The sequence below is a fragment of the Homo sapiens genome, chromosome 10, assembly GCF_000001405.40.
Source record: "Homo sapiens chromosome 10, GRCh38.p14 Primary Assembly".
In the NCBI taxonomy this organism is placed as follows: Eukaryota; Metazoa; Chordata; class Mammalia; order Primates; family Hominidae; genus Homo; species Homo sapiens.
In genome coordinates, this window is record NC_000010.11 from 62,265,619 (window position 1) to 62,281,925 (window position 16,307).

At 41.2% G+C, this 16,307-nt stretch overlaps 1 protein-coding gene and 1 long non-coding RNA gene across 10 annotated transcripts in view, besides 1 other annotated feature; one reads left to right on the top strand and one right to left on the bottom strand.

The window, feature by feature from the left end:
• RTKN2 (rhotekin 2) overlaps positions 1-3,226 on the bottom strand; it is an 84,945-nt gene extending 81,719 nt beyond the window's left edge. For all 9 annotated transcript variants that reach the window (XR_945618.3, XM_017015844.3, XM_011539457.4 and 6 more), the window contains exon 1: positions 2,933-3,226. Coding sequence is in view for 8 of the 9 variants with exons in the window: in XM_017015844.3 (XP_016871333.1) it covers positions 2,933-2,992 (60 nt within the window). In the remaining variant the exon portion in view is untranslated. The remainder of the gene's footprint in view (positions 1-2,932) is intronic.
• LINC02621 (long intergenic non-protein coding RNA 2621) overlaps positions 1-16,307 on the top strand; it is a 44,902-nt gene that overhangs the window by 6,453 nt on the left and 22,142 nt on the right. The window lies entirely within an intron of this gene.
• Positions 2,978-3,307: a silencer, noted in NCBI's record as "silent region_2397". NCBI's record gives its function as "represses an Ori minimal core promoter by ATAC-STARR-seq in GM12878 lymphoblastoid cells {active_cell/tissue: GM12878}" and the evidence as "EXISTENCE:reporter gene assay evidence [ECO:0000049][PMID:35858748]".

Consider the following 16,307-nt stretch of genomic DNA (forward strand, 5'->3'; position numbering starts at 1 on the left):
ATTTCCCATGCAACTTCTTTTAGTACACATCTACATTTTACATGCAGAAAAAGCCTCTCTGGTTAAGCAGTGCTAGCTCTAGCAAGGAAGGGTTTATGGAACCAAAACTCTTTAGAGTTGTCTTTAGTTACTAAGGGTATACAATGCATCAGGGGTAAGGGTTCATGTCTAGTGCTATCCCCAGCAAGAATAATGATCATGTAATAAGGGTACCGATTGGGCATTCAATAGTGATGTTTATTAACCTCAAAGAAGATGAGTAGGGAATGGAAAATCATCAGTGTCGCTCCCTCAGCCATAATGGCTTGGCCAGGTAGAGTCAAGGCTGATTAGGACCAAAGACAAAAGCTGGTCTCTCTGTAACCATTCCTTTTAGGATTGTTTGAATGCCAGTCTCCAGGAACAGCAGAGAATGAGGTAAGGCCATCATACTCTTATTTCTTTTCCAATTTTCTGAGTAAGGGCTTGCCTCTAATCAAGTCAAACAGAAGCCTGTGTCACTGTCCTGACGCTATAAGTAGTTAAAGTCAGGCTGATAAAAATATATGGACAAGGCTATGAATGAAATAGGAGCATACCTTAAAAACAGAAATTTAGGTTAAGTAGGAAACAGAAACCTACTAGGTTTTAAGAGCTAGCCTAGCATGAAGGAAGTGCAAAGAAAATGGCTTTATTGTTGGTATTAAAAACTGACTAAAAAAACCTGAAGTTGAACTCCCGGTAAGACAACCGCAGTAATCAAGACAGAAACTATGATTCACCTAATGGATATAGTTAAGCCATGTTAACAAAGACCAAGGTGAAGAAGAAAAGAGTAAATACAGTACGTTCTCATTTTGCTAAAAGAAACTGTGTGGATTTTAAGAATTGTTTATGTACAGAAAAAAGTCTGGAAATTGTTAACAGCGGCCATTCTGGGGAATGGAACTGGAGACCGAATTCTTAAATTCATGTTTCTGTATATGTTGACTTTTCTGCAATGAGATAGTATTACTTTTTGAATTTTATTTTTATTAAGATGCCAAAAGCTTAAACATTTGTAAGAAAAGTAGGGGACTGCCCTAACCACTCAGATGAATAGGACAAAGGATAATAACAACAATAGTCATCTCTGAAGCACATCCTGAGTGCTAGGTGCTGTGATAAGTACTTTAGAGAGGTTCTCCAATTCCAACAGCTGTCTGGGATAGGCGGAATACCCAAGCTACAACGGTGGAAACTGAAACTTAGAAAACAGAGATAACTTATTCAAGGTTGCACAACAAGAAGAGTTTGGTTTGACCTGAATCTGACTCCAAAGCCAATACTCTATGCTGTGAGGAGTCGCAGAGGACTCCAGGGTTTCAGCAGAGGTGTTTGACCAGTGTGTGACCACCTCAAAATCTTTGGCCTTATCTCGATTACGTGGCAGCTTCATTCATGTATCAAAGGAAATACCAAATAAAAATTCAGTGTTAGTCAAGTATAAAATTATCTGACTCTCAATATTCCTGTTAGGTTGCAACCTACTACTATTTTGTGTTTTTTCTTCAAATCCAAACTGAGGAAGTAATTCCACATTTCAATCATTTTGATTTTGTCCTGCCTAAGAAATTAAGTATTGTATCTTCCCACATGTAAATAACCCAGGCTTTATGTATATTTAAACATTTATTTTCATTCCATGCAACTAAACTTCATGATTTTATCCTCTTGTCGCTTCTGTACCATTCCTATTCTTGCAGCCTGCAGCTCAATAAATACACCTGGACAGCTACACCTACACCTATATGATAGGTGCAAGAACATCAATAGAATGGCAATTCACTATAAATCAAGATTTTGTTAGCAATCAGGACAGCCAAAGTACATAACAGGACAGGACTGAAAAAAAGTACATCAAAATCTTTGAAATTTTTGAAAATGCTGGCATAAAACAGCATAAGTATTACTGATAAAGACACTGGACTTCTTTTGCATAATGAATCTTAATGTCTTGCTTTATTTTTCACAGTATTATTGAAAACTAATAATTTTGTGTCTGCTAAGGAAATCCCAGATTTTTAAACAAAGATATCAGGTGCCTCCATATGAATGAAATTGCAAATATTCTACCAATTTTGACCTACAAAACTGGCAATTTCATATGGCTTAACCTATTTCTGAAGTAGGTAAAAGAAGGTAGAGATTAAAATAGAAGTGAAGGTCCAGCTTAAAGACATCAGAGTTTTCTTTTAAGACCCTAAAGTTATGGTTAAGAGTGAAAAGTGGTAACATTTTAATAACTGATGCTGCCAAGAAATAATGTTGGTTTAGTAAAAAGTAAAATAAAAAGGTTTCTAACGCATTTTACATGGCTCAAAAGCAAACATCAAACTTCTATCCAATGTCACGTGTACTCCCTCTTTCCTTTCAAATGATTTGAGAAAGAACCCAGTATCAAACCTTCAACTTTTTCTAAAGTGCAGAGGTTGCTGTTTGCCTCTACTCCGCTCCGAACCCCCTCCCCCCAACCAGTTCTGTGTTGTGTGTAGACATCGCTCCATTACTGTGCTTCCCATTAAATCCGTAATAAGCCAGCTGTCCACTGGCCTCGCTGGGTTTCTTGGGAATCGAGGGGCTCCCATTTCCCCGGCATCACCTACACCTGCAAAAAGACAGGCGTCCAAAGCCTGGGGAGGGCAGCGGACAGGTGCGCCCGCAAACGCGCGCCTGGACCCCGGCACCGCCTTCCCAATCCGGACCTCAGCTGCCTGAGAAACTCGGGGGTTCCGATGTCCAGGCCCTTTAGAGCCCCAAGAGCGCAGTCTCCTAATCCCTCCCTTTGTTTCTGGCCACCGCTGAAATAGAGGAGCGGGGGAGAGGCTTTCCCGACTCCTCCACAAAGCAAATGCGCGAGGAACAGAACCCCGGCTCCCTCACCTTCCGCGGCAGGGTCCCTCCCGCAACTCACCTGCTGGGTGGGAAGCCCCGCCAGGCGGAGCGCAGGACCCCTCAGGCTCGGCCCCTCCATCTCCAACGCGAACTGTCCGGGCCGTCGCCACTCCTTCAAAGGGAAGATTTGAAAAGCCCGCCCCTGGCAGGAGCCGCAGAGGACGCCAACCGCCCGGCCGTACCAAGTCCCAGTCGCAGGGGCCGGGGGCGCAGGAGGAGCCGGGCCGAAGCGCACGCGCAGTGGGCGCGCCTTGCGCTCTGCAGCTCCCGCCGCCGGAAGTTGCCGAGACCCCAGGCTCTAGCGCGGCGGGGCGGGGGAGAGGGCGGCGGTGCCGGACTTAAGTCCCGGACAGGGATGTGGGCGGGCCTGGGACGGGAGTGGGAGGGGCCGCGGGGAAAGCTTCGGCGGCGGAGCGCACCTGTCCCAGCTCAGGTTTCTGGCTGGTGGTTTTCGTGGCACGCCCTTTGCACTGGGAGCTTTCTGCCCGCATCCCACCGAAGGCCTTCCAAAGTGATCGTAGCTGGACAGACTCGAGGCTGCAGTCCCTGTACTCCCAGACAACTCAGGAACCCACAGCGTCACTAAGAGCCCACGGTCTCGTTCCTAAAGAACCAATAACATTACTCTCAAACACAGCGCTCTCTGTTTCCTCTCACCTTTCCCAGCGTTGTCACCAGGGTCACCCAGATATCATGGTTTTATTCATCAGGTTCGTGAGATACTATGTCAGGCATTTCACAAGGTCTTGTCTTTGCCCCCAGTGTTTATAATCCCAGATGTTCCCCGCCAACTACTCTGTCCACTTACTTTGTTTTCTTGCGAAGGATTTCTTTCAGCTCTCTCGCCCTCTCTTTCCCTCTCCAACATCTAAGGTGATAGCAAAATGGGGTACTATTTCTCAAGAGCCTCATTTCTTGCTGCCCTAAAGATTAGCACAAAGACCCATTTTAATTCATGGATTTTGTTAATTATAAAGGGAAACATGGGATTTTTAAAAATCAAAATGAAAGCAGCAAAGATATCACACCCTTGAAAAGTCCTTAAAATTCATTGTCCCTAGTTTATCTTTATTTCCCCCTTGAAAAGGCAAGAGGAAGCCTCTTCTTGAAGAGTCTACCAAATCAACCCTCCAGCCCTCATCGCCTAGAAACCCTTGGGCATTTTTCCTCCATAAATAGGTGCCCATGTTTTTTCATTTGCCTGGGACAGACCCTGTCTGGGTCTGTTGTCCCAATGTTGCACCAATCTTGCACTTATCCCGTAGTGGATATTATGTGGTCATTTTAACTGCAAGACCCTTTTAAAAGCAGTTGGTTTGAGAATGTACTTTAAAAATATAATGGATACCCTTCCTCAAATAGGTAAAATGCCTCTTTAAGACCTTTTGGACTAGGTGATACTAGAAGCTTCCCAGTTGGGAATGATGGTCCCCTTGCATTATGAATGACCCATATCCTTACAACAATAAAATATGTGTTCAAAATTATCAACACGGAGCTCACCTCGTTTTCTACAAACACAGGTCTGAATTTCAGAATCATTATGTGCCCTTTCCTCCAATGCACATCTCTGTCTTATGCTACCACTTTGTGGTATAATTATCTCCTACTCAGTATGAGGCTGCATGAGCCTAGCTGTAGTACCTGACTCAAAAGAAAAACACACCGCGAGCCCATCATCAGACACATAGTACTTACAACACATACAGCTCTCAGTTGCAGATCAAAATACATGTAGAAGCCAGCACTTCATTAAAACAGAGGTGAGTCAACCAGTTTAGAATTGGACACTGATAGAGGAGTATTTGATGAGTTAAAACCAGATATTTAACTGGAGATACATTTATTTATGATACTAGAAGAAAGAGATTAGGCAAGATCATATTTAGTAATTATCTGTAGAATACAGTTGTTACAAGAGACCTTTCTCTTGGGAGAAGAAGTTATGATGTGGTCCTGTTTTTATTATACACCGGGAGAGGTCCCCAGGAATTGCTTAAGTACTTAATTATTATATGATGATTAAAATACCTTGGAGTAGGACTTATGTTTCCTTATTTATCCTCAAGTCCTTACTTGTTACTGCTAATTTCATCAGCCAGTTTTCTCTGGTGTATGTAATGCACATAAAATATACTCATCCATGGAAACTACAAAATTTAAAGAGTTCATATGCAGTGGCTTCATTAGCTTGAGGATTTCTCTATCAATCTATTTATTTTACAGTTCCCAGAAAGTGAGAAGTACTACGTTTTACCATCTCAAATATCTGAGAGAGAACATTTGGGCATCTCTTAACCCATCATCCCTGGGCTCTTACAGAAGGTCGATATCCACCGAACTGCCCAGATGTAGTAGCTTCAGCTAGAGGATGAGTGATGGAATTACTGTCCTACCAATATTACTTCTCACTATAAGGTCAATATTTAATACTAATTAAAAATATACGTATATTAGTTATCCCTAATATAGCAGATAGTATTATAATAAATTAAAAACTACAGAAGCCAATCTAGATAATACCAATAGATGCCAAAGTATATTTTTCTTCTCTTATTTTCTGTATTCTTGTTTTAAACTAAGAGGCTAAAGGAAAACACTGAACTTAAAATCAGCTCTCTGTTACACAACAGATCCATTATTTTGAAAAATGTGGTTTGACACAGAACAGATAACTTGTGATTTTGAATATCCTCCTAGCCTCTCTTATAAAAAAAAAGTCCTCTTAAAAATTCTCTTGGTGCTTTCTTTTACTCATCTGTTCATCTTGTAGATAATCTGTTTAGGTTGAACTGAATAAATTAAAGTTATATTTTGAATTATATATGGAAGAAACAGAGAGAAAGAAGGAACTGAGGTCAAGGTGCTAAGCAGAAGTGCAGCATTTTCTTAAATGAATGTCTATGAATAGCTGAAGCATCACATAATCAGAAGGAGGCTATGGAATGTGGAGTCTGAGGATTTATTAGCCCGATTACCTTGGGCAAGCCACTCAGTTTTCTTATCTATAAAACAAGTATATAATACCCATCTTGTTTTTTAAAGTTGTTGGGAGACTCAGATAAGATTTTTGAGAGTGCTTTGTAAACTGTCCCACAAAAACAGGAGTTGTTACTACTGTAGGAAGAAAACATGAGTACCGAAAGGCAACTGTAAAGTACCTATAGAACTATGAGAACTGAATGAGAAAAATGTATGTGAATTGGATATATTCAAGATATATCACCTACCACTGCTAAATAATATGCTATATATAAAGAACTCCTATAAATCAATAAAAATTCAACTGGAAAATGGTCAAAAGGTATGGTAGGCATATTATAGGAGAGTAAATCCAAGTGACAAATAAAATAGGAAAGGTTGCTTAACCTTATTATTAGTCTGTGAACTGCAGATTAAGATCCCAAAGAGATATTTTACAGTCACTAGATTGAGAAATATTAAGAAATCTGATAATACTAGGGGTTGGCAAAGATGCAGGTCCAAGAGATATTATATGCTGGTGGAGGAGATAGAAATATGTCCAATCACTTTGGAAAAAACAAATTTAGAACAGTCTTGTAAAGTTGAAAATGTGTTTACCTAGCAATTCTGCTCCTTGGTATGTATCCTGTGGGAAATTCTTGCAAATTTGTATAGGCAACATTGCTTATCATAGCAAAAGTATTTTTAAAATCCAAATGCTCATTTCAGGAGCATGGATTAATAAATTGTGGTGATTTACCCAGTAGAATGTCACGTATCTTTTAAAAAATAAGCCATAATTATGTTTAGTAACATACACATAACTAAATCTTAGAAATACTGAATGAAGAGAACTAGTTGCAGAAGAGTACGCAGAATATATAATATTTGTAAACTTGAATAACAAGAGACTCTAAACAACACATTGTTTAAGGAAACAGGTGTGTGATAAAAGTTTATTCTTAACAGTAAAGGAATGCTAAAAACAAAATTCAGGCTAATGGCCAGCTTTGGAAGGAAGGCAGGAGAACAGGATAGTCACAGAGCCTGCAGATATAGAGCTACTTACTTGTCATGTTTTAGTTCTTAAGTTGGGTGATGGGTTCACCAGTATTAATTGTAATGTTTACCTGGTAACTTACATATATAACATATATTTAGTATGCATCAAACTTTTCATAATAAGAAATTTTTAATATGTAAAAAGGTCCTTGTAAATGTTAAACAATAGTGATAACGTGTGGGTTTTTTATAAAACTAATAATACATATTATTATAATATAATAATACATGTTTTAAAACTAATCAAACATATTTTGGCTTACAGAATTTGACTTGACATTTGATCCATTACCTTTGTATTTTTATTATGTGAAAGCATGGAAAACACAGCTGTAATGCATTGGTACCTATAACCAGAAAAAAGATGCTGAAGAATTGGCTATGTAGATTTATTTGTGCACACTTAAGAACCACTGCTTGGGAGAAGTAAGGGGTAGGAGTCTGGCAGAATTTGCAAGGGATGAGAGCTCTTGTCAGCAGACGGGAACAAAATTAAGTGCAATTTAAGTTATTACTGTCAGTGTGACCTACATATTACATACAATCCTGAGGAAATTCAAGTGACATTATAATCAGAATGCTCTTTACTCACCAAGCAAATCAGTCACAGGAATTAGTTGTATAACTTGAATCGGTGGTTCTTAAATTGGGGGACACAAAGACTTTGCAAGGCCTGAGTATATGTAAAGGTCTGACTGTTTAAAGGAACGCATTGTTAAGATTTTCAACTTAGGTTCCCTCATTCTGAAATTGATTGGCCTAACAACTTACCTTGCTGTCTAGGCCTCCCCTTGGTCCCCCTTTCACAATCACCTTTTCCCATTTGACAAAAGAAAGCCATCACTTCCACCCATTGCATTGTCCTGGAATATAAAAACCATCTGGAGGTCAAAGGGACCGTTAAAATTATTGGTATTGGGCCGGGATTAGTGGCTCAGGCCTGTAATCCTGCACTTTGGGAGGCTGAGGGGATGGATCACCTGAGGTCAGGAGTTCAAGGCCAGCCTGGCCACCATGGTGAAATCCCATCTCCACTAAAAATACAAAAATTAGCTGGGTGCGGTGGCAGGTGCCTGTAATCCCAGCTACTCGGGAGGCTGAGGCATGAGAATTGCTTGAACCCGGGAGGTGGAGGTTGCAGTGAGCCAAGATCACGCCACTGCACTCCAGCCTGGGTGACAGAGTAAGACCCTATCTCAAATATACGTATATATATATATTGGTATTGATTCTACATTAAGTAATAGTTACCTATGAATACATAACTAATTGGAGGAAAAAGGGTTCATCCACCACATGATATGTGAAGATGTATAAAATTTCAATTTATATACATATGTTTGTTGCAGAGAAATATTATAAGATGAGCAGTAAAGACTTCTCTTGCATAAAAATATTTTATTTTAGCATAAAATTCTGTGGGGGAAGTGGAATAAAAATACAAGTTCAAGTAGGAAAAGAAATAATGTACAATTTCCAGCATAAAATTGCTTATATATTTTTTACATGGATACATGGATGATGCCGGATGGATATCAACTGTTAACATTTTAGATTCCACTGGATACATTTAATAAATAGAATTTTTGAAATTTGAAATTTTAATTATTTTCAATATACCCACAATTACATCCTTTGTAACTATTTAAATGTATGGTAAAACATGACAAATGCCACCTTAAAAATATGTAAAGGGTAAAAAGATTTTTAAAATTATTTTAAAATAATGAAATCATGTCATTTGTAGCAGCAACATGGATGGAACAGGAAGTCGTTCTGTTAAGTGAAATAAGCCAGTCACAGAAAGACAAATACTGCATGTTCTCATATGCTGGAGCTAAGAAACTATCTCATGGAGATATAGAGAGTAGAATGATAGCCAGGTGGGATGGCTCATTCCTGTAATCCCAGTGCTTTGGGAGGCTGAGACAGGAGAATCACTTGAGCCCAGGAGTTCCAGACCAGTTCTGACAACAAAACAAAACTCCGTCTCTAGAAAAAAAAAAAAAGTAAAGAAATTAGTTGGTTGTGATGGCACACACCTGTGGTCCCAGCTACTCAGCAGGCTGAGGTAGGAGGATTGCTTGAACCTGGGAGGTTGAGGCTGCAGTGAGCCATGATCATACGACTGCACTTCAGCCTGGGCCACAGAGTGAGACGTTGTGTCACAAAAGTATTTATATATATATAAAATATATATACATGAGACAGAGACAGAGACAGAAAGAGGGAGAGAGAGATATCAGAGGCTGGGAAGGATGTGAGGATAGAAAACAGTAGGAAGGGGGAATGAAAAGAGATTGGTGAATGGGTACAAAGATACAGTTAAACAGAAGAAATAAGTTCTAATGTTTGATAGCAGGCTAGGATGACTGTACTTAGTAATAATATTATGTATATTTCAAAGTAACTAGAAAAGAGGACTTGAAATGATACCAACACATAGAAATGATAATGCTCAGGTGATGGAGACCCCAAATACCCTGACTTGATTATTACAAATTCTATGCATATAGAAAATATTTACATGTACCTCATATATATGAAAATATTACATATGAATAGAAGAGAAAATATTTTAGGGGTATTTGCATAAAAATGTTTGAAAAGTGCTGATTTAATTATCTGATGGCACCCACAACAATACCCAGATGCATTGATATACAGCAGAAGGTCCACTTGCAGATGGAGCCAGACCTCCTTCCTCAAATTCCCCTCTGACCATTTCCTCCACAGTCTGCAATCCCTCATATTCTCTCACATGCCCCTCTAGTTTCCAAGCCAGTCTCAGCTCCTTTCTTAGGTAATTTTTTTTCTTTAGATGGATTAATATTATGAATTAGGCTAAGGACAGATTCCTCTTTTCCTGCTTTAGTTCTGGAAATGTTCTTTTTGTAGATATTTACTACCTTTTTCTCCTGAGGAGTATCTTGGCTATTATTGTGCTTTTGCTCTTTCACATGAAATTTTGATTCAGCTCCTCAAGTTTGAAGGAACAAAACAGAAGCGTGTTGGAGTTTTTGTATGAATTGCATTGAATTTAGAGAGAAATTGTTTATTTAGGATATTGGGTATTCCAATCCATGAACATCATGTATGTTGCAAATTTAGATTTTCATTTGAGGTCTTTTGATGAAGTTTTGCAGTTTTTTCCACATAGGCCTATGCATATCTTTAGTTCCATGTATTCTTGGGTTCCTTATATCTCTTCTTGCTATTGTAAATAATACTTAAAAAACATATCTTCTGTTTGTGGCTGGTGTATAGAAATAAAACTGATTTTTATCTGTTGGTCTTATATCCAAGTGCCTTGCTAAATTTGCTCATTATTTCTAATAAATCATCTATAGGTTTTTTAGGTATATTCTGTATGAAATCAAGTGTGAATAATAACACTTTTGTTTCTTTTCTGATTCTCATATTTCTTTTTACTTGACTTACTACATTGGCTAAGGCAGCCAATACAATATTAAATGGAGGTGGCATTCTTGTTTTATTCCTGATTTTAATCTTTATCTCACTAAGTACACATCGTTTACCTTGCAGCTTTGGGTTTAAGCCTTTCTTAATCTATTGCCTTTATCTCCTAACTTTTCTTTTATATTCTCTACTTTCTGGACTCTTCGTGCTGAATTCGGAGTATTTTTCCATCTTCTCATTTTTTTCTTTTATCTGTGTCCAATTTTCTCTTAAATCCACCCACTGAGTTTTTTATTTCAACCATTAATTTTTTCATTTATAACAGTGCTGTTGTAATGACTTTTACAAATCTCCCTGGTCATTTTGAATAATCTTTTGTTACCTGTTCATTTCTGTGATTCTTCTATTTTTTTAGGTCTTTTTCACAATTGTTCTACATTCTGTTTCTAATCATTATAATATTTGTAGTGCTTAAGGATATTAATTTGATGTTATTTCCACCGACATTTACTCACGTTGATTGATTTCCTTGAGATTTGTAATCATTGACTGGGTGTTCATTTTTACCTAATCCAAGCTTTCTTACAGGGGGGATTTACATATGCTTTTACTGGGAATCATAGGCTCTAGATGCCTGAGACCAGTTAACTCAGGTTTCTAAGCATAATATAAGAATCTCAGATGCAGGTCCTTCCACTTGCCATTGGCAGAGCAAAAACCATTTGTGTGTGTGCACATGCATTTGTGCACTAGTAACTTCCAACTGTGGTTTTCACTCAAGTTTTTTGATTGGTTGTTTTTGTTGTTACTCTATTTCTAGTTCCTTAAAGGTGTTTATTTTTTCCTGAGATCCCAGCAATGCTATAAAAGTTATATTTATGTGAAACATATCTATTTTACAAAAATTATTCATCAGTGAGAGGAAACATTATTCATAAAGTCCACTGAACCTGTAATACAGAAGTCCACAGAAGGCTAGGGGCGGTGGCTCACGCTTGTAATCCCAGCACTTTGGAGGCCGAGGCGGGCGGATCATGAGGTCAGGAGTTCAAGACCAGTCTGGCCAACATAGTGAAACCCCGTCTCTACTAAAAATACAAAAAATTAGCCAGGTGTGGTGGTGTGCACCTGTAATCCCAGTTACGCAGGAGGCTGAGGCAGGAGGATGGCATGAACCCGGGAGGCGGAGGTTGCAGTGAGCTGAGATCACACCATTGCACTCCAGCCTGGGTGACAGAGCGAGACTCTGCACTGCCCCCCGCCACCGCCCCCCAAAGAAAAGAAGTCCATAGAAACTGCTAATACAGAAATTCACAAGAAAGGATAGTTTAATACCAAAATATAATAAGTACATAATTATACATAAAATGTAAGAATAAAGAACTGTCCTTTAAATTGCACTCATTTGGTTTTAAGGGAAACTCACCACGTTATATTTTTCTCCTGCAGATGTAGCTGCCTAAAAAAGCTGGTCAGTGTCCCAACAGGGTCAGATTCCTTAATGGTCACTTTGAATATATTCCATTTTGAGGAAAATGGAAAAGGAAGAATTTTTCAGATGGTAGAACAAAGTGCTATGAAGAACAATGGACTGGGGAGTGTTCTCCAAGGTCTAATCAAGAAACCTTTCTTTCCCTTTGGGATAGAGGATCGTTAAAATTTCTACTTGCTGAGATTTCAGTTACTACAGACCAGCACTGCTGTGTCTCCCCTTCTTCTCCTTTCTAAATGGGAAGAGTTATATGGAGGTTATCCTGAACATGTATCCCCAGTATGTATTGGATGTATGTGGGGCAGATAACTTGCCCTTTTTGTTCAGAGGTTTCCGGTTCAAGAGGACTCCCATCCTCACATGAAGCACATTGCTCCCTGAGGTAAGGACTACAGTGTATTACCAAAGATCCTTCTTTTTGAGCTTGATGCCCTTACCACATGGGACTTTTGGGTTTTCTCCTTCCAGGAGTGCATATTTCCAACAGGAAAGAGAGTGGACTGAATACTTAGTGCCTAGGAAGACTATTGTAATCAGTGACACAACATAGTTCTGGTTCGGTTTACTTCCTCATAGGTTTGCCTGTTTGAGGTCAGCCTTGACCATGAGACTTGCTTTCTTTGCTGAACCATGAGCAGAAGGGTCTGTGAAGCAGCTGTAAGAGCAAGTGTTTGACTTGCTGTCATTTCTTCCCCCTCTGTCCCAGTGACAGGCAACTTTCCAGATTGTAGATGGTATAATATTGCATGGTTCAGAGTGAGATAACTAAAGAGAGCACCCACCTGTCTTGTGCTGAACACACATTAACAGCAATAAACATATCTTTGTTATTTTGAGCATTAAATAATCTTTGTTATTTTTAGCATTATTTTGAGCCTCTGAATCTGGGAATTGTTTGATGCTACAGTGTTACTTAGTTTGTTCTGGTTTGATGCAAGCACCAAACTGGAAGACAGAGGACTTAAATTATAGTCTCAGTCCTGCCATCTGATAGCCATTTGGCAAGTCACTTGACATCTGTAAAGCTGAGTTTCTTAATCTGTAATATACAACTAATAATCCTTCCTCTGTCTGCTTCATAGGCTTGTCTTGGGTATCCAGCGTATATGAAAGTATTTGAAAAATGTAGGGCATGTACAAATATCTGCCAGCAGTGTCATTAACATTGAATTGGTTTATTCCATCTGTGTAATGCCAATCCCCAAAAAGAAAACATTAGAGAAGTTATGAAAACTAAAGATTTAAATCAGATAACGGTGGAATGAAAGACTTGATAAGTTCAGCATGAAGTAGAGATATTTCCATCTAAAATATTTCAATGACTATGCACACCCTATTTTATAACCATAAATTTCTTTAAAGAGTCATTAATGTTTTTGAAATCCTATTGTAAGTTAAAAGTTATGACTAACAAAGCCAAAACCAAAGGTATTTTTAGAAGAAAAAAAGTTTATTTTGGACTTAGAAAATACTGTATTTTTCTTTTGTGTGATATCAAAGTGAAGCTTGATTGAGTTGGCTTGCTTACTACACATTCCAGAGTCAAATCTACTAAACTGCTATGTTTTCAAACTCCATCTGTCTTTCTCTCACCCCCAAATTCTGAGCACCTAGGGGTTGATCCTCGCCTTCCAGTGAAATCACCACATTAGAAAGAACAAATCATAGGCCGGGCGCGGGGGCTCATGCCTGTAATCCCAGCACTTTGGGAGGCCGAGGCGGGAGGATTACGAGGCAAGGAGATCGAGACCATCCTGGCTAACAAACATGGTGAAACCCCGTCTCTACTAAAAATAAAATTAGCCGGGCGTGGTGGCAGGCGCCTGTAGTCCCAGCTACTCGGGAGGCTGAGGCAGGAGAATGGTGTGAACCCGGGAGGCGGAGCTTGCAGTGAGCCGAGATCGCGCTACTGCACTCCAGCCTGGGCGACAGAGTTGAGACTTCCTCTCGAAAAAAAACAGAAGAAGAAAGAACAAATCATAGACTCTTGTAGCGTGCCCTTCCTATTATTTTCTGAAAACCTAAAGGCAGGAGAACATTCTATGATGACTTTCCAGAGTATGTGAGCCTGTTAGTAGTTCTGCATCGGTTGATGAAGAATATACACTGATCACTGAAGCTGTCAGTGAGAAGGAACTCTGCGCCTTACGGAATGTTGTTTTTGGCTTGCCATTTGCTGTTATGAATGTCCAGGCAGGTAGGGCAGGCCCCCACAGTGATGCTATGAAGTGCTACATTTACTGGTGCTATCACAGTAAAGATGATGATGTGTAATGAATAATTACACACGAAACTCTGAGTTCCTTCTCGTATTAGACACCTGGAATGAATTACTTATCTCTGTCCTTTCTAGTTTTGCATTGGGAGGCCTAAAATATTCGGGTTTCATTTTGAGCTGTACAAATTTTACTGATTATAGGTGTTAAATAATTTTTTTCTTTCTTTTTTTTTTTATATTTTATTTTTTGAGATGGAGTTTCACTTTTTTTTTGCCCAGGCTGGAGTGCAATGGCCAGATCTCGGCTCACTGAAACCTCCGCCTCCCAGATTCAGGTGATTCTCCTACCTCATCCTCCTGAGTAGCTGGGATTACAGGTGCCCGCCACTGCGCCCAGCTAATTTTTTTTTATTTTTAGTGGAGACAGGGTTTCACCTTGTTGGCCAGGCTGGTCTCGAGCTCCTGACCTCAGGCAATCCACCCGCCTCAGCCTCCCAAAGTGCTAGTGAGAGGTGACAGCGTGCTGGCAGTCCTCAGAGCCCTCGCTTGCTCTCAGCACCTCTCCTGCCTGGGCTCCCACTTTGGTGGCATTTGAGGAGCCCTTCAGCGCCCCCACTGCACTGTGGGAGCCCCTTTTTGGGCTGGCCAAGGCTGGAGCCCACTTCCTCAGCTTGCAGGGACGTGTGGAGGGAGAGGCACGAGCGGGAACCGGGGCTGCGTGCGGCGCTTGCGGGCCAGCTGGAGTTCCGGGTGGGCGTGGGCTTGGCGGGCCCCGCACTCGGAGCAGCCGGCCAGCCCTGCTGGCCCCGGGCAAAGAGGGACTTAGCACCCGGGACAGTGGCTGCGGAGGGTGTACTGGGTCCCCCAGCAGTGGCAGCCCACCGGCGCTGCACTCGATTTCTCACCCAGCCTTAGCTGCCTTCCCTCGGGGCAGGGCTCGGGACCTGCAGCCCGCCATGCCTGAGCCTCCCACCCACTCCATGGGCTCCTGTGCAGCCCGAGCCTCCCCAACGAGCACCACCCCCTGCTCCACCGCACCCAGTCCCATCGACCACCCAAGGGCTGGGGAATGTGAGCGCACGGCGCGGGACTGGCAGGCAGCTCCACCTGCAGCCCTGGTGTGGGATCCACTAGGTGAAGCCAGCTGGGCTCCTGAGTCTGGTGGGGACGTGGAGAGTCTTTATATCTAGCTCAGGGATTGTAAATACACCAATCAGCACCCTGTGTTTAGCTCAAGGTTTGTGAGTGCACCAATGGACACTCTGTATCTAGCTGCTCTGGTGAGGATGTGGAGAACCTTTATGTCTAGCTCAGGGCTTGTAAATACACCAGTGGACACTCTGTATCTAGCTGCTCTGGTGAGGACGTGGAGAACCTTTATGTCTAGCTCAGGGATTGTAAATACACCAATTGGCACTCTGTATCTAGCTCAAGGTTTGTAAACACACCAATCAGCACCCTGTGTTTAGCTCAAGGTTTGTGAATGCACATATCGACACTCTGTATCTAGCTGCTCTGGTGGGGCCTTGGAGAACCTGTGTGTCAAAACTCTGTATCTAACTAATCTGATGGGGACGTGGAGAACCTTTGTATCTAGCTCAGGGATTGTAAACGCACCAATCAGTGCCCTGACAAAACAGGCCACTCGGCTCTACCAATCAGCAGGATGTGGGTGGGGCCAGATAAGAGAATAAAAGCAGGCTGCCCTAGCCGGCATTGGCAACTCGCTCGGGTCACGTTCCTCGCGGTGGAAGCTTTGTTCTTTCGCTGTTTGCAATAAATCTTGCTACTGCTCACTCTTTGGGTCTACGCTGCTTTTATGAGCTGTAACACTAACCGCGAAGATCTGCAGTTTCACTCCTAAGCCCAGCGAGAGGAACGAACAACTCCGACGCGCTGCCTTAAGAGCTGTAACACTCACTGCCAAGGTCTGCAGCTTCCCTCGTGAGCCAGCGAGACGGCGAACCCACCAGAAGGAAGAAACTCCGGACACATCTGAACATCAGAAGGGACAGACTCCAGACGCGCCACCTTAAGAGCTGTAACACTCACCGCGAGGGTCCACGGCTTCATTCTTGAAGTCAGTGAGACCAAGAACCCACCAATTCCGGAGACACTAGGTTTACAGGCATGAGCCACTGCGACGAGCCTGGTGTTAAATAATTTCTAATGCTAAAGGAAAGCTTGCTTTTTGCTGGTCACTGTTCTAATTTTTTCCATCTATGAAATCCGCCATGA